At 35.2% G+C, this 25,456-nt stretch overlaps 1 long non-coding RNA gene and 1 other non-coding gene across 2 annotated transcripts in view, besides 1 other annotated feature; both read right to left on the bottom strand.

Moving 5' to 3' along the window:
- The window catches only part of LOC124902889 (uncharacterized), a 38,516-nt gene that overhangs the window by 2,753 nt on the left and 10,307 nt on the right, over positions 1-25,456 (bottom strand). The window lies entirely within an intron of this gene.
- Positions 19,642-21,122: an enhancer, noted in NCBI's record as "VISTA enhancer hs579". NCBI's record gives its function as "enhancer in: ear[6/7]" and the evidence as "EXISTENCE:transgenic organism evidence [ECO:0001131][PMID:17130149]".
- Positions 19,649-19,744, bottom strand: MIR3974 (microRNA 3974). The gene has a single exon (NR_039770.1). It is a non-coding gene; the product is annotated as a microRNA 3974 (primary transcript).

The following is a 25,456-nucleotide window of genomic DNA, read 5'->3' as shown; positions in this document are numbered from 1 at the left end:
TTCCTTTGTGTTTGATGTTATCATATTTCTACTTATACTACAAAGCACCTAACAGTAACGTTATAATTAAAATAATAATAATAATGATAAATACCAACTGATTTTTGTTGGAATACTCAGGACAGACATTACTAACATTGGAAGCATATTAATCCACAGAAATTTCTAAGCTTTATATTGTAAAATCAGTCCAGCTCCACTTCTTACGAGATATAGGAGGCAAAGGGAAATAACTGACTCTGTTTGCCAGATATTGCATGAGACGTTTTATAGCTATTGTGTCATTTAGGTCTTACAGCAATATTGTGAAATAAGTACTTATCATTATTTTTAATTGGAAGATAAAAATAAGATTTGCTCAATTATTAAATACTAGATTTAATCGATATATTATTTTACGATTAAATGTGCCCTTTCAGAGTTGCCAAATATAATCCAAGTATTACCTGTTATTGCTATATTAATTTTTCTATGTATATTTATTTAACTCCAACATGTGAAGAACTTAGAAGTTTACATTCTCTTATAATAAGAAAAAGCTGCATGAACTCAAACCCAATAACTTTTATTTGACCTACCAGAAAAATGAAATTGCAGGGCAAAATAACACCCTGAAATCTGGAGAGACAGATGCATCTACAGAAATGTAATAATTGATATCTACTAACTTGGAGGAAAAGCCACTGAATGATAAATTAATGAGGGCACTTCAATGAACTAATATGGCACTTTAGACTGGGAGGAATTGCTGGAGGCTGTGGATTAGCATGAAAATGAGAAGCTCCTTGGGGATGCAATCTTAGACAGACCCCTTACTTACATGGGTTTTCCTTTCAGGGACCCCACTTGGCTCTGACAGGGGGACAAGAAAGTAACTACTGACAAACTCTCCCAGACCCCCTTCTCCATTTAAAAAGAAAAAAAAAAAGGGCTACCCTCCAGAGAAATGTACTTTGCCAAAGTTCAATTCTCAAGCCTTTTTCTAGCAAAAGAAATTCCCTCCCACTCAAGCCCTCTTCAGCTTTCTTGTCTCTTCTTTTTTTTTTTTTTAATTATACTTTAAGTTCTAGGGTACATGTGCACAACGTGCAGGTTTGTTACATATGTATGCATGTGCCATGTTGGTGTGCAGCACCCATTAACTCATCATTTACATTAGGTATATCTCCTAATGCTATCCCTCCCTCCTCCCCCTACCACACGACAGGCCCCGGTGTGTGATGTTCCCCTTCCTGTGTCCTAGTGTTCCCGTTGTTCAATTCTTGTCTCTTCTAAGGGGGGAAAATAACATAGTCAACAAGATTCTGAAATTCCCATGAATACATTGCAAACTCTGCAGCAAAAGAGGAAAGGAGAGAATGGGTGGAAAGTGGGGCGTTGCTGGGGAAAGGAGAAGGCCATGCCGCTGGAGAAAGAGCTGTGACCATCTCAAGCCAGAGACACAGACCTATCAAAAGGCTGAGATTCTATCATTTGACTATAGAATGTTCCCTCACCCTGCACCCTACCACCATCAACAGGGCTCCAGTATAATAGCAACACATTACATTTAGAAAAGCTACACTTCCTGATGGATCCAAAAGGCTAAATATCAAGCATTGAGAAAAACACAAGGGTAGTAGAGGAATTGGAAACTGTACCTATAGTTACAACAATCATTAAAGATAGCCCTCTCCTTAGCCAGATTAATACAAATTCTCACACCAAAGGCCTTTTTTTACCTCAGTTCCTTTTACTCATTACAACATTTGGCTTTCTACAAAAAGTTACAAAGCATGCCAAAAGGCAAGAAAAAACACTTTTAAGACAGTGTCATCATCACAAGAAGACTCAAATGTGATACATATGTTGAAATTATCAGGTAGGAAATTTAAAATAACTATATGTTAAGAGTGATAATACAAAAATAAACCATTGCATTGCATAATGCAAGCAGAGACATAAAATTTTAAGAATCAAAAATATATACTAATCAAAAATACAGTAACAGAAATGAATGTTTTTTGTATGTTCATCAGTAGGCTTAACACAACTGAGAAAAGAAGGGGAAAAGAATCATTGAACTGAAAAATAAGTAAATAGACACTTTCTAATCTTAAATGAGAGTTAAAAGGATGAAATATCAGAACAGAACATACAAGAACTGTAGAAAAACATCAAAAGGTATAACTATATGTTATTGGAATACCAGAAGACAAAGAAAAAGACAACAGGGCAGAATGAATATTTGAAGTAATAATGGCTAAGTTTATTCAAAATTAATCATCCCCAGTAAACCAAAGATCCAGGAAGCTCAAAGAACACCACTCAAGGTAAGTACCAAAATACCCAAAGCAAACAAAATACCGACATGCTTAGGCATATCATATTCATACTGTAGAATGCAAAACACAAAGAGGAAATGTTGATGGAAGACAGAATGGGAATAAAACCACTTTAACTATCGAAGAACAAAGATAACAACTGTAATGGTCTCTTTATTATAAAGCACGCAATCAAAAATAGAATGGAGCAAAATATTTTAAAAATTTTTTTAAATTATTAATTTAGAATTCTATACCCAGAAAAACTATTGTGCAAAATGTAGGAGAAATAAATACTTAGGCAAACAAAAACTAAGAGAATTTGCCGTCAGCTGATGTGCCTTGCAGAGAAATTTTTAAAAAAGTTCTGCAGGCTGAAGGAAAATGACATAGGATAGAGACATGACTCTGCATAAAGAAACAGCTTTTAAGAGGACTTATGTGGAGGTAAATCATATATTTATATATACTTTTCTTATCATTGACTAATCTAAATAATAGCATTTTGAAGTAATAATAGTAAAGTATTGGGTGGTTATAGAATAAGTTATGTGAAATGAATGACAGCAGTGTCATAAATGATGGAAGAATGGAGAATACTCTGAGATGCTTACACTACATGACTACATGTGAAGTGATATAGTGTTATTTGAAAGTGGACTAAGATTAGCAAATTGTATACATAATATAAAACATATATTTATATATTATAAAATGCATATACATTATAAATTATAAAATAATTTTGTAAGGATGTATAAATGCCATGTTAATAGAACAGATGAAATGAAATTATATACAATGTTCAATTAAAACCACAAAAGACAGAAAATGAGTAGAAAACAAGGACAAAAGAACAAACATCATAGAAAACAGTTAAGAACATGTCACATATAAGTTTAAATATATCAATAACTATTACTAATGTGAATGGTCTAAAAACAGCAAGGAAGGAAAGATATTGTGAGATTGGATAAAAGAAGACCCAACTATACACTGTGTGTAAAAACCTACTTTAGGCCGGGCACAGAGGCTCACGCCTGTAATCTCAGCATTATGGAAGGCAGAGGTGGGTGGATCACCTGAGGTCAGGAGTTCAAGACCAACCTGACCAACATGGTGAAACCCCATCTCTACCAAAAATACAAAAATTAGACAGGTGTGGTGGCGGGTGCCTGTAATCTCAGCTACTTGGGAGGCTGAGACAGGAGAATTGCTGGAACTTGGGAGGTGGAGGTTGCAGTGAGCCGAGATCATGCCATTGCACTCCAGCCCGGGCTGACAACAGCGAGATTCCATCTCAAAAAATAGAACAAAACAAAAGAAAAAACCTGCTTTAAATGTAACCACACATAAGTTAAAAGAAAAAGAAAGGAGAAATATATACCATGTTAATTCTAATCAAAAGAAAGCAAGTTTGGCCACATTGATTTCAGACAAAGCTGACTTTAGAATAAGAAAGATTACTGGGGACAAAGAGGGTCATTACTTAATCATTAAGAGACTAATTTTCCAAGACATCACAACCTAAATGTGTATACACCTACTGGAGGGTTCTTCAGAGAAATAGAATAGAACCAATACAATAGATAGATGATAGATAGATAGATAGATAGATAGATAGATAGATAGATAGATAGACAGACAGACAGACAGATTAGATAGATAGATAGACAGACAGACAGACAGATAGATAGATAGGCAGGCAGGCAGACAGATAGGCAGACAGGCAGACAGGAGGGGATTTACTATGAGGATTTGTTCATAGGATTATGGAGGCTGAGAAGTCCCATGACAGGCCATCTGTAAGCTGGACAAACAGAAAAGCCAGCAGCGTGTGGCTCATCCAAGTCCAAAGATTCCAGAAGGAGGGAAGCGGATTGTAGTAACTCTCAGTTTGAGGCCAAAGGCCTGAGAACCTGGAGCTTCACTAGTGCAAGTCCTAGAGTCCAAAGGCAGGAGAACCTGGAGTTCTGATGTCCAAGGACAGGAAAAGAAGGGTATTCCAGGTCCAGAAAAAAAGAGTAAATTTGCTCTTCCTTTGCCTTTTCATTCTATGTGCTCAGCGGCTTCATGGTGTTCACTCACATTGCGTGAGGGCAGATCTTCATTGTTCAGTCTATTGATTCAAAAAAAATCTCTTCTACAAACACCCAGACATACTCAGAAATAATGTTTTATGACATGAGCTCTCAAGGTAACCCTTAATTCAGTCAAATTGACACCTAAAATTAATCATCACTGCACCGAAGCAAAAGAGGCAACACTGATAGAACTGAAAGAATAAATAATCAAATACATTATCATTGTTGGGGACTTAACACCTCTCTGTCAGTAACTGATAGATCAGACAGGCAGAAATCAGTAAGAATACAGATGACCTTAACAGCCTTATCAATCACCTTGACCTAATTAACATTTATAGAATATCACATTTAACGAGAGCCCAAAACACAATCTTCTCAGGTTCACATGGAACATTAATTAAGATAGATCCCATTCTGGGGCATAAAGCACACTTTTACAAATTTTTAAAAATATCATACAAAATATATTTTGAAAACACAACAGAATTAAACTATAATTCAATTAACTAAAAAAAGCAGAACAATCTCCAAATATTTAGAAATTAAGCAATATACTGCCAAATAATTCACAGGACAAAGAAACCTGAAAAGAAATTTTGATAAATATTTGTGAATTGAATTAAAATGAAAAGACCATTTCTCAAAACATTAGGGATACAGCAAAAGCAGACTTAAAGAGAATTTATAACACTATATTTATTTAAAAGCTGAAAGAATATGAAATAAATAATTAAGCTTCTGGAAAAGATAAGAAATTATAAAGCGAGGTCAATAAATAATGCAAGAGCAATATACTAAATTCCTTTCCTATGTAACATCAATGAACAACTTGAATTTGAAATTTCAAAAAAACCCACCATTTATAGTAACAACCTTCCCCCACCCCAGTCCCACAAAATAAGTACATGGGGGTGTAAATCTGACAAAATGTGGATAGAAACAGTGTGTTGAAAGTACAAAACAATATAAGAAAATCCAAGAAGATCTAAATAATTGGAGAGATATTCCATTAAGATGTCAATTCCCTCCATCTGGATCTATGAACGTAATGCACTCCCAATAAAAACCCCAGCAAGATATTTTTAAGATATCAAAACACTAATTTAAAAATGTATATGGAAAGGCAAAGAACCTGGGGTAGCCAACACAATACTGAAGATGAATAACAGAGAACTCACATTACCTATTTTTAATATTTATCATAAAACTATGGTAAATAAGAGATTGTGTACTAGCAAAAGAATAAATACATAGATTAATGAAATAGAATTGAGAGCATAAACTCACACAAATATAATGAACTAACTTTTAATAAAGCTACTAAGGCAATTACATGGAGAATAGCTAGTCTTTTCAAAAGATAGTGCTGGAAAAATTGGATGTCAATATGCAACAATAAGAAAAAAAACTCAGAACCTAGATAGAGACCTTACATCTTACACAAATTTAAAAACAACAGGTCATAGACACATATATAAAATGCAAAATTATAAAATTTCTAGAAGAAAACATAGGAGAGCATTTAGGAGACGGTGGGTTTGCTGCGAAGTTTTTGATACAATATAAAAAGCATGTTTCATGAATAAAAATATTTGCAAATTGAATTTTAAAATTAAAATTTTTTGTTGTATTAAAGGTGTTGTGAAAAGAATTAAAAGACCAGCCCCAGACTGGGAGAAAAATCTCTGTAAAACACAAATCTGGTAAAGTACTTATTTCCAAAATATATAAAGTAGTTTCAAAATCCAACATTAAGAAAACAAAAGCACAGTTAAAAATGGCCAAAAGATCTAAACATCTGCCTCATCATACAAGATAAGCAGATGGCAAATAAGCATTAGACAAGATGATCAAAATCATTTGTCATTGGGAAAAGGTGTAAATTAAAATACAAAATTAGATGTTACGGCACATCTAATAGAATGGCTAAAATCTAAAACTGACAAAGCAAAAGGCTGACAAGATGTGGAACAACTGGAACTTTCATTTCTGGTGGGAATTTTATTGCTGCTGGGAATGAAAAATGGTACAGCTGTTTTGAAGACAATTTGGTAGCATCTTATAATATTAAACCATGTCTTATCTTATGATCCAGTACTCATACTCCTAGGTATTTACTCAACTGAGTTGAAAACTTATGTGTATTCCAGATCTACATATTAATGTTTATAGCACCATTATTCATAATGGACTCACACTGGAAGTGACCAAGATGTCTTTCAATAGGTAAATTGATAAATAAATGAATAGGTAAACTGTGGAATATACATACACTGGAATACTATTTAGCAATAATACAAAATGGACTATCAAGCAAAGCAAAAACAAGGATGAAATTTTGGCAAAGGCAAAAATATAGAGAAAGTAAACAGATTAATGGTTGCCAGAAATTTGGAGAGAGTTAAATAGGTGAAGTACAGAAAATTTTTATGTCATTGAAACTATTTGTATGTGACTGTAATGGTACAGACATAACACAATGTACTTGTCAAAACCTACACCTTCACAGAACAAAATGTGAGCCTTACTGTATGCAGATTTTAAAAACTCACTTAGAAGTTCAGGGATACCAGGATAGAATGCAGGCTGTGATAAAAGAATCTAATCTAACAAGTGCATGAAACACCATCAGTGAAAAGAGTTGGGTGAAAGTAACCTTGGAAATGAGTGGAGTCTAAAACTAAAGGCAAAATAAACTGGACATAAGCACTTTACTCTAGCTGATAAAGTTGCTTCCCACAGGAGTATAGTATAACAATTCTAAAACATACATAAACACATATAACACAATGTAATAAATGGTAAATAATGGAACCCAGCTTATCACTGTTATAGTGGTAGGTTACTGACAAGAACCTGTTGACTAGAGTTGGAGACATCAATATAAAGTCATATTTATCTTAATGAGTGTATGTAAATAAGCAGAACACATTTACTTATATTTATGAAAATGTAAACATGGGTTAATATACACACATATATTACACTCTTCTGTCAATGGAGAAGCATAGTAGCAACGACACCATGGCAGCAATGAGTACATCTAGTTCCCAGGTTTGAGATTCTAATACCATTCTCCAATAAAAATAAGAAGGGCTTTTTTTTTTTTTTTTTTTTTTGGATGAAGTCCTGCTCTTGTCCCCCAGGCTGGAGTGCAATGTTGCCACCTCGGCTCACTGCAACCTCCACCTCCCAGGTTCAAGCAATTCTCCTGCCTCAGCCTCCCGTGTAGCTGGGATTACAGGTGTGAGCCATGGCGCCTGGCCAAAAAGGGCTCTTTAGAGAAGTGGCAAGGTTCTAGGATAGGAGCAAGTAATATACAAGATGAGCCTAGAATGTCTTATAGTGCCAGAAAGCAAGGAAGTACGTGCTATAAAAAGACAACAAACAAACACCAATGGGAATATGTCAAAAGGACACAAGACTCAACTTAAAGAATCCCCAATAGCCAAAGATGGAACCATATGAGCAACAAATGCAATGCCATTGAATTATCACACAAAATATAAAATATCTATGAATCTATACTGATACAAATAAATAAATGGATAAATAAATGGAGAACAGACAACCCATCAAGATGAATTGCAAAAACTTTATGTTGATAATCCACTCTCACAGAGATTGAGCATAAATTCCCTGTCTTTAAGTGTAGGCTGCACATTATTACTACTGAAGAATACATTAAAAACAAGGAGAGGGAGTGTAATATGTCACAGTGGAGAAAACAGAAAAATTTGACCTTATAAAGATGATTAAGGGTAACATCAACAATGGTAGATTGTGTTGCTATAATGTACCCCTGATGTGATGTGAGGTGATATGATGAGAATGATATATTACCGCTGTGGTTTTTCTCTTAAAATCTATAAATCCAGTCTAGTCATGAGAAAAGAATCATATAAATACCAGTTGAGGGACATTCTACAAGGTACCTGACCGATAATCCTCAAAACCATCAAAGTCATTAAAACAAGTTAAATCTGAGAAACTCACAGCAGAAGGTGCTTAAGGGGAAGTAACAATTAAATGTAATGTATCCTGGATAATATTCTGGAGGAGAAAAGGGAACAATCTGTAAAAATTAAAGACATCTTAATAAATTATAAACTTTATTTTATAGCAATGTTTCAATATTGGTTTATTAATTGGGACAAATATTCCATAGAAAGGTAAAATGTCAGTAATGTAGGGGACTGAGTGTGGAATATATGAAAACTGTCTGCTGTATTTTCACGATGTTTCTGTAAATCTAAAACCATTCTAGCATAAAATTATAATTTAAATAAAAGTTTAAAAAAAAACCATGGTAGCTAGACATGCAGGAAGGGAATTTAAAGAGATTAGAAAATGGCCATATCATGTAGTATCATGAAGGCCATGTTATCACAGAGATATTGTGTTCTCTGTTGATCAGAAGATTTGGTGATATTACGATTTTATTTCCATTTTAAAAAGACAACACAGGATCTTATGTGGCATACAGATTACTGGATGAAGAAACTGGAAGTCGGCAAACAAGAAGCTATTTGAAAGCTAATAAAAGAGCTCAGAAGAGAAACACTGGTGGTCTTGATAAGTAGAACTGGTGGGAGATGAAAGACCTATGGAATATGAGACAGCGCTCAGGGGACAAGCCAATGATTTTTGTTCAGTGCACACTGGTGTAATAATGGTAGCATTTTCTGCTGTGGAGACATTGAAGAAAAATCCTGTTTGAATGTGGGGGTTGCCAATTAAATAGCACAACAATTCTGTTAGTTACACATCATAGCACCCATTTTTCTTACATACAGAGGAAAGGTGGCTGAGAGACATTGTGAAATTCACCAAAATGTTTACACCTAAAAGCACTACAGCTGAGACATCATCTCATATGAGTCCAAAACATGTGATCTTTCCATATTTCACATTGTTTACTCTCTGGCATGGAGAGAATAAATTTCTTTCTCTGTAGCTACAATTTTCAAGGTAAAGTCCCTGTGGCTATTAGCCTACTAGCCTTTCAAAAACTCATGTGAAAACTTTCCAAATGAGAGGAATTCAGTAATATGATCACAAAATCTACTTTCACCTTTTGGTTTCCTTGGGAATTCAAGGCAAAGGGGCTTAACTTTACTTCTAGCAAAGGAGGGAGACACTTTCACCATCTTCTGAAAATAAAATAAATATAGGGGTTGGTTTATGTCATTTGATTCACCGTCTAGGGCTGCATTAGCACTTCTGTGAGACCACCCACTTTTGACTTTGTATGCCCCTTCTTCTATTAAAAGCATATTCGAAATTATATTTTACCATACAGTTGCAATAATAATATATTAATGTTACATCATAACATTTTCTTTGATGATCTACAGTACCTACAATGCCTAATAGGTAAATCAACCGTGTTTGTATCTCTGTAAAGAATGATCCTACAGTGTTAAGATGATGAACAATAGAAGATATAGCTTACCCCAAACCACAGGTTCTAGAGTTTTTCAAATGAGAATTATTTCAATTCATGATGATGGTCTATAGAATCAATAACTCATTACAGATTACTAAAGCATATCCCCTGGCCCCCAAACTTTTACTAATGTAGTTTTTTTTTTTTTTTTTCAATGAGGGATGCGATTCTTTTGAACACCAGTAACGGTGTTTTAGATTAAGCCAGCACGTTTTCTTTCCTTAGATGGTTTGTGACATTTATATTCATTTGGAAACCCTGATTTTACTCAACTAATTATTATTGCTGTTGTTCATATTTTATTATATTTTTCTCTTTAGTTATCTCATTGTTAAAAGGAACAGGACTTTTAAAAATTATGTGTGTGTATGCGTGCGTTTCTTTCTTGCCCAAGTATTACGTCAAGTTTCTCAAGTTTTACCTTACACAGTGCATCTGGGTCACATTTTCTGCTCTTTTAGGCTTGCCATAAACAGGTAAGTTTAAATATCTCAAGCATTTGGTCTTTGCCCTAAATATGCTAAAGCAAGGGAAATATTTTTTATTAATAATTTTACCTTTCTAAGCAAATCATCACATAAGAAGGGCAGCACATTAATTAATTAATACATGTACCCAGAGGAAAATTAAACAGTTGAAATAATAAATGTGGACATGTCTCTGAATATTTGAATAGAATTTTATTATTTAAGTTACTAGCAAATTTAATCTGTAGGCTCAGGCAAGATAATGCTTGGAAGTGTTTTATTCTTAGAACTGAGAATTCTAGATACCTAAGAGTTTATAATTTTGCTCTTTAAAATGCATTTTAATTACTTAGAATAGAATAATTTTAAAGATGATCAATTACTACATTTTTAATGGAATTGACATATTGCATTGATGACACAAAGACATTATTTTAAACACGTTATTGTTATATGTTGATATCCATATGTATTTTTTAGGATCCCAAAAGACACTTGGATTGTTTTATCCAACTTAAAAAGTTTCTAGACACTTGTACATTTTGAGGTGTTACAATACTTCCATTAGTAGTATAAGATCCATCAGGGGAAGGCAGTTTGTGGCAGAAAATGTGCTTAGTTTTGTACATGTTGCATTTGGTTATTGTAAGGATTATAAAATTAAAAAGCATTAAATGAAACAAAGTAACATATAAGTTATCCTAGTCTGCTGACATGTCATGCTGATTTTTCAAAAATGTTATTTGCAAATAAGAGTGCATCAGACTACCTGAGTACAATTTATAAAAAAAAAATCCTTTCTTGTTAGGAAAAATTTGACAGAGTTTATCAAAGTCCCCAATAGCAACAATGTTGCTAATAATATGGACTGTTAATTGCTTCAATAAATAAGCATGTAAAGTGTATATTTATATTTAACATTTCAAGTAAAAGTGACCTACATGAATAGAAGAAAAATTTGCAAATGCATAGGCTGTTAATTAAATGACATGAAAAGGGCAAAATTGAGCAAGGCAAGTGGATATGTTTGAAAGACAGGTTTTTTTTTCCCCATTTCTTCTTACATTCTCTCTTATAAGGTTATCACTTTTATTTCTCAATTTATTGAAGCTACTTACATCAAAGTCACTGATTCTTCTTCCACATTCATAAATCCAATTGTGAATTCTCAGTCCATATCTTAACTTATTCTATGAACAGCATTTGAACTAGGAGATCAGAGTTTCCACCCCCTGCTTTAGCACCAAACTCTTCAATTATAATTTTTCAGAGCATTTCCTTAGGTTAATTTTCTTTCTTAACTTCACCCAGCCTGAAATATTTAAATGCCACCCATGTGGTGTAACTTGAACACCTCCATTGAATTGAAGACCCCTATGTCTACCTGACTACTTGATATTTCCATTGAATGTGTCATAGAATTCCCAAACTTTGCATGTTGAAATTTGATCTATATTCACAAACTTGCTCCATCTATAGTGTTTCTTGTCTCAATGCAAAGACTGGTTCCAGTTATTAAGGCCAAAATGCCTTGAAGAAATAATAACTCTTCTTCCTCATATATCACATGAAACTAGTCAAAAACTACTATTGAATCCACCTTTAAAATATATCCAGAATATGACTACTTACCACCCTGGTCATAGCCACCATCCTTTTTCCCAAGTATTATTGCAATAACTTTATCTGTCTTCCTGCTTTCATCCTTGCTCCTTCTAAAATCTGTTCACTGCAGAACAGTGACACAAAGTCATTCAAACTTAGTGAAACCAGTTCATTTTGTGTGTGTGTGAGTGGCAGTAGCATAAGTGTTGAAAAATGTTTCCGTTATTGATTTTGGTCTATAATGTTAAGGTAGAGCCAACAGGATCTGCTGGAGTATCTGGTGAATGTTGTCATGTGTAAGAGGTGTCAACAAAAAGAATGAGTGGCTTGAGCAAATAGAATAGAGTTGTCTCTAACTGAGAAGGAAAGATGAGGAGAAGAAAATTTGAGGAGGAAGAAGATGGGCAGGAGAAGTTCAGTTTTGGACACTTTAACCTTTAGAAGCATAATAAGCATCCAACTGGAGACGTCAATGAACCTCTGGATAAAAATTTGAAGATTGGGAAAATAGATACAGTTGAATTTATAAATTTGGGCACTGATAGAGGAGAGGTTGCTTTTAAAGCTATGAGCCTTGAAACCAGGTCATTCTTTTGCTTAACACCTTCCAGTTGCTCTGCATCTCCTTCAAGGCCCCACACAATCTGGCCTCTCACTACCTCTCTAACTGCATCCCCTATTTCTCTATGGCTTTGCTCCTTCCACTCTCTCCACTGTTTTTATTTCTCAAGCACATCAGGCCGACTTCCCACCGAGGGCCTTTGTAATGGCTGTTCTTTCTCTTGCAGATGCTCTTTTCCCATCTCTTTCAAATTTTTATTCAAAAATTCAAAAAAAGATGTTTGCTCCCTAACTGTTCTATTTTACATTGCAACCTTTTCCCAGACTCCTACTATCCTTTATTCCTATTACCTTCACATATAGTTTGGCTATTGTTTAATTTATTGTCTGTACTCCCCCTTATTATTAAATAGGCCCATGAGAAATCTTATTATTTTTTATTTCTTTGTTTTACTGTTTAATTTCTTTTTATAACAGTAGGTAAAATCTCTCAATAGATATGTGTTGGACTTGTTAAATGACTATAGATCCATATGGTGAATGACAATTTTAAACAATCATGATGAAATTAGTCTGCGTGGGTTCGATGAGAGTATGAAGCATTGTTTATAGAGGTAAATTTTCTGATGAGAATTCAAGCTAAAATTATAGTTATCATTATGAAAGATTAGGTCAAATTCATAAATAAGAAGAACAAAGTAGTTTTCAACATTAAAAACTCTTAATTAGCTACTTGAAAATAAAATAAAATCATAGTTTTTCTGTCATCTCCTCTAGATATACTGATCTACAGGTATCTGCATTTTTTTTTTTTTTGAGATGGAGTCTCACTCTGTCACCGAGGCTGAAGTGCAGTGACATGATCTCGGCTCACTGCAACCTCCACCTCATGTGTTCAAGCAATTCAAGCAATTCTCCCATCTCAGCCTCCGAAGTAGCTGGGACTACAGGTGCCTGCCACCACGCTCGGCTAATTTTTGTATTTTTAGTAGAGACGGGTTTTCACCATATTGGTCAGGCTGGTGTCCAACTCCTGACCTCAGATAATCCTCCCGCCTCAGCCTCCCAAAGATAGTTTTGATGCAACTTGTCCAAGGACCATGCTTTGAGTAAATGCCTTAGAGAAAGAGAATGGAAAGTTGAAAGAAAACTTCTAGGATTTGAGGGAATTGAGTTCCCATTCTCACTAAGAGACATCTTAAAAGTATGTGATTAAATAGCAGAATTAAAAATTTGATTTAGTATTAGAGAGTCTTTTTCTTCTTGGTCAGGACTGATAAACTGAGGAAGATAGACCATTTTATTCCAGGAAGAATTTAAAAATAGATTCTCATCTTTCTGCAGTGATTTTTATGATAGTCTATTTTAAGATATCAGATTAGCAAAAATGAACTTGCATTGTTCTTTTCAAGTGCTGTGATTATGACTTTAAATCTTTTTAACAGCTATGAAGGGATAGAGTGTATGTTTCACAGTAAGCTTTAAGTTGAGATAACTGATAATAGGGCCAACTTTTCTTTGAGCATCAAAGTGAATGAAATACAATTTTAAGTTAATTCTTTTGAACTTTCTTTCCTTTCTTCCTTCCTTCCTTCCCTCCTTCCTTCCTCCCTCCCTCCTTCTCTTTTCTTTTCTTTTTCCTTCCTTCCCTCCTTCCCCTTCCGCTTCCACTTCCCCTTCCCCTTCCTCTCTCTCTCTCTCTGTCTCTTTCTTTCTTTCCGATAGGGTCTCACTCTGTAGCCGAGACTAGAGTGCAGTGGCATGAGGCATGATCATGGCTCACTGCAGACTCGACCTCCCCAGGCTCAAGTGATCCTCCACTTTTGCCTCCTGAGTAGCTGGAACTACAGGCATATGCCACCATGCCTGGCTAATTTTTGTATTTTCTATAGAGACAGGGTTTTATCTTGTTGCCCAGGCTGGTCTCCAATACTTGGACTCAAGCAATTCACCCACTTTAGCTTCCCAAAGTTCTGGGACTGCAGGCATAAGCCACTGAGCCCAGCCACTGCCTATATTTTTAATGATTTTATCTCTCTCTCTCTCTCTCTCTTTCTGGGTCTCTTTCTCATCAAGGTGTACATTTTTAGACCTTATCAAGGTCATATATAAATATAAAAATATTTTTTCATTTGTAAAATTAGTAATTTGTGCAAGATTTTCAATGGGAAAGACACTCCAGAAAGGTATAATTTTTACCATTTTAATTTAATTATATGATTGCTATGGTTTAAATGTGTCTCCCAAAATTCATCTTTTGGAAACTTAATCCCCAGTGCAAGTGTTGGGAGGTGTAGCATCATAGGAAGTGATTAGGTCATAAGGTCTCTGCCTTCATAAAGAGATCGATGTGATGTCATTATCTCAAGAGTAGATTCTGATAAGCCAGTTTGGCCTCCTCTGATTCTCTTGCTGTCCCAAACTCTCTTGCACTTCGCCTTCTGCTGCAGGATAACGCAGCAAGAAGGCTCTCACCAGATGTGGGTCCCTTAACCTTGAACTTCTCAACATCCAGAACTGTAAAAAATACGTTTCTTTTCTTTGTAAATTATCCAGTCCATGGCACTCTCTTATAGCAACACAAAGAAGACTAAGACATTGACATTTTACATTTCTCAGTATTGATGAAATAGGATGTCTATCACAGTAGTAACAGAGGGCAAAAAGAAGGAGGGATTGAGAAAAACAGTAAATTTTTGTTGCTGATGTTATTTTTCTCTTGACATTTTCAAATATATCTGCACTGTGGTGTTGGATACTCAAATAAGATCTTAGCTTACTTCAAAATATTGCTGAGCTAAATGTTTCCTTTGTTTTCCTGAGTTTTGAAATAACCAAAATGTAAACAGAAAAACTAGTCCAGGACAAGGTTCTAAAGTAGTCATTTTCTTATTAAAGATCCCCATCAACTGTATATATACAGTTTTATTTAGCATTTCCAATCCCACATAAATACAAATATACACACCTTCTATCTCTAATTATACTCCAAGCTGTTTCAAATCTGTTCCTGTGTAATTGGGGCAGGGTTTGTCTGTGTGACATTAAATAGTTTTTTTTTTTTTAAGGAAAAAAAAAAAAAAAGAACAGCTGCAGAATTTGAAGTGATGAAACCATTTTAATTTTAAACTTCCAGCCCTATCTAAGACTTCAATTTAAGAATGGGAAACTGAAAAAAATATATACACTATTTTGTTGAAATAAATCTTTCTTTTCTACTTCCAGAAACATCATGAGATTACACAGCCTGATTTATAAAAGAATTTGGAGCAAGCTTCAGACTTTAAACATTCAAAACTGAGGTTTGTTTATTTCATTTTCTACTTACTGAAAGAAGAGTTTCTAGCCTGAACTAAAGGCCTGTGCTTTATGTACTTGAGGTACTGGAGTGCTATATGTACTAACTAAATTGTGACCCTATTTTACCACTGGTGACCCGAGTGAGGATTCAAACTTTCTTCATGTTTTTATTTTTAACATAAATATAAAAATGCTGAGCTGTAGAAAATATTGAATACACATGGATTTAACCTCAAGAAGCTCCGTAAAATTCTTAGATGACATTATAAAAACAAGAAGCAGTTAAACCTAAAGCATCCTCCTTAACATAATTTGAGAAAAATAAAATGTTCATATCTTATATAAGATACCCATAACTCCTTGTTAAAACACTAAAATGAGTAAGAAATATGCACTGACCAATTTAAAACTTTATTTTTTTTCTATTGATGATCATCAGATAACTTGGTTAAATTTGTTAAATAAAACAGATACACTAGTTAGTAATTATTGATGGGTATGCTACTTTTGGCATGACTAAAAGTTTGCTATTAAAGAGAAGGTTCCTAACAGGAAGGGCAAAACACACTAAGACATAATCAACTCAAATTAGAAAACTCTCTTCCACTGGAAAAAAAAAAAAACATAGACTTTTGGTCACCCTAACTATATGTTACAACGTTTATAGTTTAGTGCTTTTAATATGAAAAATGACTAATATTTGTATGAAACTTTTCAACAGTTATTTCAAATGTTATTCCTCAAAAAATATCAATTTGTAACAGCATTATCTTTATTTAAAAAACTCACATTCAAAGAGACTAAACTTTTTATATCTAGTAAGTCACATATCTGATAGTTGATGGAGAGAAATCTGAATGCCACTTCTTTGACAATAAATCCTGTGACCTGTCTGGTGCCCAATTAATTTGGATGCCTCTGAAGCCTTTATTTCAGACCTATTTATTATTAATTTACCCCCTAAAAACTCAAACTATTTTAATTTGCATCTAAAACCTATGACAAATTTCAAGACACTGAATATACCCAACTCTGGGAGATGTAGAGATGAGTCTGCTAAGGTCCTTCTTCAGAAAATAATTTGCTCCCCATCTTGAAAATCTGCACAGTTCTGTATCTGACAAGCACATGGCCATATACATGTGTGGCCATATGTCCCCATGTAGGGAATGTTGATAATGGGTGAATGAATGTATAGCAGTTGGACGTTTTCCTCCTTCCATTTTGAATTCCTCTCTTCCCTTCACAGTAGTTACTCCCTAATATACATCTAGCATCCCAAACTGTGTCTCAGAATCTGCTTCCATAACATCAGGACCAACTACATCATCTGTGGGGCCAGTGCAAGGAGGAATCCCAGGGACCCCTTTTAATAAAGCATCTGACTGCATGTTTTTATGTTTAATTACTCACAGCTTTCAAGCCCCATAGTGGGACAAGCCCATAAGAAAGCTGTCACTCCCTTCTTTGTCACCAGATGAGAATGATCAAACCAGGCTAATCCAGCTCCTATGCAGAGGCTCTCCTCCCAGCATGTCTGAATCACAACAGAAACCAAAGCCATATTCCCCTCATTCACTCAAGCCATTTTGAACCTGCTTGGGAGTCTACCCTGCTGTCCCCAGAAACCCTCATAATGAGAGTAATACCTTCTCATACTCTGTCTGCGCGTGTGTCAACATCTAAACCTATCCTGCCTTTTGCAGGACGCTACCAAAACACCCTTGTTCCAAAATATTAAAAGTCCCAAGACTGCAGCAGCAGAGGATTGAACCAAATGCAAGGCCATTCTTAGCGTGGGATCCTGTGTACCTATACAGGTCACAAACATGGAGCCAGCCCTAGGTAAACCCAACCTCCAGCATCAGCTATCCCTTGTCTTTTCGTTAATTTTGTGATCTCAGTTGGGGAAGCATAATTCATAGTATTCATTTTTGGGGAGTCTGTTGTAGCACTCTTATACGTACAGTTGCTTTTCCACTTTTCTCTTTTCTTGGTGTTTAACGCTGTGCTTCCACACTCGATTTTATGAGTTCTTGTAATTTCCCCAGTCTTATTACTAGCCCCTGTCTAAGAAAGCCCTCCAAGTGGAAGAGATGATTGACTTATCATTCATGTATTCCATTCCCCCAAGTATAAAGGGATATCTATCATAGTTATTTATGGCACTTATGTGTGTGCATTGTCCTACCCTCACCACCCTCCTTACACCGTCTAAATTCTACATTCTTACATACCATTTTGTGCAAACATTGCCAATAATTGTGCCCTTCTTTCACTTTATTATCCTCTCCTTGCAAAACTCTCATCAAGTTTAGTTGTATTCGCTGGTACTCTGAACCTGGACATGGCTCACTGTCTCAGTTTAAAGTCATAAACATTAGTTTCGAGACCGACGTTGCTAAAAACCAAATTCTAGTTTCATTATTGACACTTTTCTTTCTCTCATAACATATATCTGATCAGCTATCAAATTATTTTACTTTAATTTCAAAACATATCAAATTTGGCTTTCAATATCCAAAATGATCCCCTGATTCAATCCACTCTCATCTTTTGATGGGATGATCTTTAAAGCTCCTTAACTAGTCTCTCTGCTTCATCTCTTTAACCCCATTAGCAGATTTTAAGTCCAGACGTCAGTTATAATTTTTAAGCCTAAGTAGACTTATGTCCCTTCTTTTTTGAAATATTCATATGGCCTTCATCTCACAAATTAAAAAAGGTGAAAGTTTCTGCAAGAGCCTAAAGGTAACATGTAACCTGGAGCCCAATACTTTTTTGAACAAATATGCAAATACTCTAACTTTCTTTCCTTCTTTCCAACCACTCACTTTCACATTGCTCCTCAAACAAGCCAAGCATGCTCTTGCCTCAGAGTCTTTGTACTTGCCTGCTCTTCCTGGGGTACCTGATACCCTTGAGTAATGCTTGCCAATCTTTGGTCAAATGTCACTTTCTCAAAGAGTCCTTCTAAGATCACTCAAATTAAGATAGTAACCCTTTTTCTGATTCCTAATCATCAATTCCCATATTACTCCTGAGTTTTCCTCTTGCTTGTAGTATTTTAAAGTTTCTATCATTAGTATCTATAGTTACTTATATATAGTATCTATATATACTATAGAGAGAGACATTGGAATAGAGGTAAACTTATTTATTCTGTCTATTGTATGTCTCTCCTGTCAGTGGAATAAAAGTTTCATGATAGCAAGAATCTTTACATGTCCGGAGCACAGCAAATACTCAATAAATAATTATGAATTAATTAATCAAGGTATAACTACTGATAGGGCTCTTATAAAATATTCTTAAAGCTTTTTACAAGTTCTAACAATCTAAGACACAATTGACATTATATTAGTGACTTGTTAAAGATTCCTTGCAAGGACAAATGCAAAGATTGAAGTATATATGAATGACTGAAGAGGTAGAAAATGCAAATAATGTTTGAAATATGAAAAAATACATGTTAATAAAATAATTCAAAGTGCAGACATTTTATAAGCAGATGATATGTAATACTTTCAAGACCAATATAAAGCTAAGTGGAAAACAACAACATAGTCTGAATTTGGTGAAAAATACGGGCCAAAATACTGATGGGTTACAATTGGTCCATCATGGCTTTGGCTTGTCATGATCCTAGGATATTAGCTGAGAAGGCAGCTTGTGATTTCTTCAGGAAGCTACTCTAACTTACGAGATGTATGTGTATGCCTGTGTATGTATGTGTGTTTAAACAAGGAGTGGGCAATTTATTGCAAAGTGAAATGGATAATTTTGCACTTTTGTTATTAGGTTAAGAGGCCAAATCTAGTCCACTTTTTAGAAATACCTCCTCTCGTTTCATGTTGTTTAAGCTTTCTTCTTAATGTTTTGGCAGGGGTACGGAAAGGCTGTAGTCAAATTTGTCATAGTTTGATATTAAAATATGGGTGCATTAACCTTACAATGACCTTTTCCCTGAACTTATTCCTAGAAAAAAAGATGCTGCATCTTTTGTAAGTAACTTCAAGGCAAGATATCATACAGCATTCAAATATAAGCTTTTATCCAGTTAATCATCAAGCATTACCTACTTTCATCAATGTTCAGGAGCTTAATTCCAGGATTACTTATTCCAAAAAAAAGCTAAATACAAAAATCAGAAGCACAGACCCAAACAATAGAACTTTTATACCATGATAATTAGAAAAGGAACCTATTACCCAGGATTATAATTAGTGACTAACATATTAAATGACCTTTAACATTTACCTTAAGCCCTGGATTTCTGGAAAACCAGCAAGGTTATGAATGCCATATTAGTGATCTTTAATCTTTATTACTGCTGTGGACAGAATTTTAATGATTTTTAAATAGGCAGTGGTCACTAACATATCCCTATTAAAATAAAAAAAAACTCATAAAAAATTAAATGGATTAAGACTTCAAATGTACCATCATCAAAAGTATTATCTAATTATGGAGTTCAGTGAACAGGCCAAGTGAAATGGTTGGTAATATTAGTTACTTGCCACATGGGAATGCCCAGGATTTATGCACAAATAGATTCTGCTTCTGTTGCAACACAGTAATTAAGAATTTGTCAGGGAAATTTGACCCTCTAGGGTAGAAATTACTTTGTAAAATAAGAATGGCAGAGCACTAGTCTCCTTGCTGCACATAATTTAACTTGATTATTTATACATCAAAGAGAGTCTGCAGTGACTGCAGTATAATATTTAAGTAGAGGGATATTAAAGAAAGAAGCACCTAGTGAAATCTTTTTTCCAAATCTCCGTGAGAAAATAGAAGAAATTTTCATAAAGCATTTCATTTTGCATATAAATTGGAGCCTAGATTGTGCCTGTGAATTTACTGCTGTCAAATTTAATTTTTCTTTAATTCTTCAGACCCAGATGTGAAAGGCTCTGTGTGCAGGCTGCAATTTTCAATGCTTACAGGTAGCTCCCGGATCGATAATGTGTCTTTATGAGAAATTACCATTAATGTTATTGAGTATGCATTTTGTTTTGTAGGATAATAAGGTAATATGAAATGCCAATTCATTCATTAGAAGAGAGCTAAGTGCTTAAATGAAATGGGTGACAGGTCTGAAAAAGAGATGTAGTAATGGGCAGGAAGGCAAGAATGGATTTTTAATGACCTAATATGTAAAAGTTAACCATGTTTTTGCATTTTCTCTTTATACATGATGTAATCTATAATATAAAGAAGTTTATTTAAATTGGAGAATGTGTCTTGGCTAAAAACCCTCTGCAAAAGTGAATAAATAGATATCAACTAGGTTTCAGAACATTTTTCTAATGAGTTAGTTTTACTGAGAACACAGCACCTAAATCAATTAAAAACAAACATTGCCATATGAAATCAATGCTATAAAAATCATCAGTTAATATTAGAATGTCACAAACAAGACCAAATTTGATATATATTTAAGATCTCTGTTTTTGAAGTATGGTGATAAGAAAAACTAATCCTGAACTTAATGCAAGGGCACAATGCAAGAACAGAACATTTGGGAAACTATGTTCAAAGTCATTGGAGATTAGACTAAAAAATGACTTTAAAAAATCAGTTAAACTGAATGTGAATGTTAGCATCGCTATTAATAACTTTTTATTTTGCCACTTAGGAAAACAAGTTTCACACCTTCTTCAGTAAAATAGTTCTGATTCAGCCCTGTGCTGTTAAGCTGAGGGGCATTCTAATTATCTAGAAAGTTGGATGGACTCGTTAATTTGATGCCTGTGATTTTATAAAGCACCAGTAGGCACTCTACAAGAAAAGCTTTGAGTAACTCAGTTCAACAAGGCTTTTGGAAAAAATACAAACAAACATATCTATGCTATTACATAATTTGAACTCAAATTACTTGCTTCTGACATCTTATTTAACTATATGTAATTCTGAAACCAATTTAAACTCATTGGTGGGCTGAACACAGTTTTATGAACAAAATGTTATTAGGCCAAATATCTTCAAAATGAAAAGGACACTAACATCTTTGAAGATGTTCCCAAATCAAACACTTAGGTCCAAAACAACCAATCAGGAATATTCAGTTATAAACAAAACAAAGTAAATAGAACAAATGATTATCAAAATTATGTTGATTCTCTTATAAATTAAAACAGTATAAACTTGAATAAAGCAAAAATGCATCCCTATTTCATTACTTGAGAAGTCAAATTGTGCAGGATGATATGGACTAATAAAAGTACAGAAGCTCTGAAGTCAGAAAACCTGTGGTCAAATCCCAGCTCTCATACCCACTAGTGGTTTAAACATAAATTATGTAACCTCTCCAAATCACTTGCTTTGTCATAAAATGGACACAAAAATACCTAACTCATCACAGCCGACAGCCATACGTTGAAGTTGAACTGAAATCTGTCTATATCTGAACCTTAAGTGCTGATGTCGCACGCTTTAAGCACTGATGTCTCAGGTTTTAAGCACAACCTCTTGTCTTGATCACTCTCACTTATCTGGCCATAAACAGCTTTACAGAAACAACCAGTTCTGGATTCCACCCCACCTCCCTCTTTCAGCTGAGCTAGACATTTCCAGGCTTGATGTCTTCGCTCCTCAGCCTGGGTCCTGTTGTTGCTGATTATCTGAACTATTTTGTCAATAACCTCAATGCCTTACATCCTTACCTTTACAGACATCTGACAGATAAAATGTCAATCTTGAGTTAATTCCATTATCCACTTTCTCTACTCTAATGCAGAGGCTTGACGCTGCTAGAGAAATGCCATCATTTAAACATTCATATGTCCACAAATTTGTACATTCGATCCTAGTCAATTTCTCAGGTCTTTGGCCTTCTCAATCAGTTGTTCCTTCCACTTCTTTCAGCAATTGTTCTACCTTTATTCTCAAGGCTTCTCCACTCTCTCAACCTTACTCTTAATAAACAAACTTCTATATTATTAGGGAATCTGATTTCATAAAACATGAATTACTGGCTCTTCTGTCCCCCTCACCTTCTGATTTTCTATACCCACCCTTACCTTCTGAGAGGATTATATACTTCTCTTCTTTATGACCAACCATCAAGCAGACATCTGTTCTTTATTTTCTAAATGTCCTTCAGAGCTTTGTTTCATCCGTTGCAATTGTTTCTTCCCTTACCATGGTTTTTCCTTTATCTTGGCTTTACCCTTGCTTTCAAACACATATAATCTTTCTAAGCAATCCCTTATCCCAGGAAAGAATAGAATTAGAAATACATTTACTTGAAAGTTAAACTGTTTTATTTGTGTTGATTCCTCTCTTCCCTTTACCTGCACTTTTCTTGAAATAAGATACTTTTTCCTTACTTCCCATTCATTTTTTAATAGCCTGTAACTTTTTTCACTGTCTCTATCATTTCCCTGAAACTATTTTATCAGAGTAGCCAGTGATTTCCTAATTACCCACTGGAATTTAAAAGAAAAAACCTTAACCTACTAGAAAAGTGACAATATCAGTCTGTTTTTGGTTTTTGTTTGTTTTTGTAATCAAGAAACAAAATTTTTTGACTTTTTTTTTCCCTCAATCTCCAATGAGTTCTGCCCTTCTGCCCACTCCTTAAATGTTCCTCAAGATTGATCTCTGGTTATTCTCACTCCACACACACTCCATGGAGATCCCTTTTCCAATTTTCTAGTTTCAGCTGCAAACTAATGTTTATGACTCCCCTTTGTGTATTTCTAGTACCAATATCTGCAATGAAGTTCAGATATCTATATCCAACTGCCTGCTAAATATTTTCAAAACTGTCTCAAAATTGTCATAAGTTTGCTTTTCCCCATTAATTGTTCCTGCCTGTGTAATACTTGCCTCTCATAAAACCATTGTCCAAATATAAATATGGGCTGTAAATATCATTTTCTTTTCCTTACTCCAACTTCCAGGTAATCGCCTACTAAATTTATCACTAAGTTGTTTATACATATATAACCTTTCCTCAAACCACACTGTCATTCTCCTAGTTTAGATCCTCCTCATTCCCAATTTAACTAATGGGTGCTAGTTGTAGTCTTTGCCTGTGGTATTTCTTCCTCCAATTTTACAAAGTTACCATTAATATCCCATATAAAATAAGATCTGGACGGGTGTGGTGGCTCGTACCTGTAATCACAGCATTTTGGAAGGCCGAGGCTGGAGGATTGCTTGAGTCCAGGAGTTTGAGACCAGCCTGAGCAACATGGTGAAACCCCATCTCAAAAAATACAAAAATTGGTCCAAGCATGGTGGCTCACACCTGTAATCTCAGCACTTTGGGATGCCGAGGCAGGCAGATCACCTGAGGTCGGGAGTTGGAGACCAGCCTGACCAACATGGAGAAACCCAGCCTCTAATGTAAATAACGAGTTAATGGGTGCAGCACACCAGCATGGCACATGTATACATATGTAACAAACCTGCAGGTTGTGCACATGTACCCTAGAACCTAAAGTATAATAAAAAAAAAAATAAAACTACAAAATTAGCTGGGCATGGTGGCGCATGCCTGTAATCCCAGCTACTCAGGAGGCTGAGGCAGGAGAATCGCTTGAACCCGGGAGGTGGAGGGTGCAGTGAGCCGAGATCGCACCATTGCACTCCAGCCTGGGCAACTAGAGAGAAACTCGGTCTCAAAAAAAAATTAGCCAGGTGTAGTGGTGCACACCTATTGTCCCAGCTACTCCAGAGGCTGAGATGGGAGGATCACTTTAGTCCAGGAGTCCGAGGCTGCAGTGAACTGAGATCCTGCCACAGCACGCCAGCCTAGGTGACAAGAGCAAGACCCTGTCTCGAAATCAATAAATAAATAATAAAATTAAAAATAAGATCTGATCGTGTCACCTGCCTGCTTTAGAACCCTTCAGTGGAACCCTGTTGTCTGCAAAATCCTTGATATTATCTCCTGTACAGCCCTCCCTGTCCTATGTATCTCTTAACCTTAACTCCTGCCATGCCCTGCCTCTTACTTCATGCACTTGAAATCAAGTGACTTGCTGTTTTCCTCATGCACCATACTGCTTCACAGCTCTGTGCTTTAACTCACGCTGCTTAACTGCCCTGAATGCACTTCCCACATTCTTTGCCTGGCTAACTCTTATTCGTCCTTAAAACTTTAGCTCCCGCCATGCTGTCTTCTCAGGAAATTTTCCTGTATCCTCCCAGTCTAAGTATAAATACTCTGTGCTCCCCTGCAGCTAGTGCATCCCCACAGCCTCACTCTTACATCATGTTTAAATGTTTGTCTTTCTTACCCTACAAGATGTAAGCATCTCATAAGGAAGGGCCCTATTTTTTATTTTGAGATTAATTTATTTAAGATTCTCAATTTGCTGAAGTGAGACAGCAAGCCATTTTATTTTTCCGATAACTGACACCAACTGAGTCAACACCTCCCACTTTCTCGCTTGGTCATGCATTCTCTGTAATGACAACTCTGTTCACTTCTGTAACTTGTCAATAATTTTAGCCATTATGAGAGCCAACTTCTACTTCCTAAGACCCAGATATATCTGTTTTAACATTTACTTTAATATCTAATTAAACACTCTTTTTAGAAACACTTCCTCTTCTCTCCCCACACTGTCATTGCTTCTCTTCCTAACATTGACTATTTATAGCCATCCTCTGTGTTGCAAATATCCACATGGGACACATTCGATGCCACTTAAGAGAGATGTAGGC

Source organism: Homo sapiens, chromosome 12 (assembly GCF_000001405.40).
Source record: "Homo sapiens chromosome 12, GRCh38.p14 Primary Assembly".
NCBI lineage: Eukaryota > Metazoa > Chordata > Mammalia > Primates > Hominidae > Homo > Homo sapiens.
The sequence above is the reverse complement of the archived record's forward strand: the minus strand, read 5'-3'. Positions and strand labels throughout refer to the sequence as shown.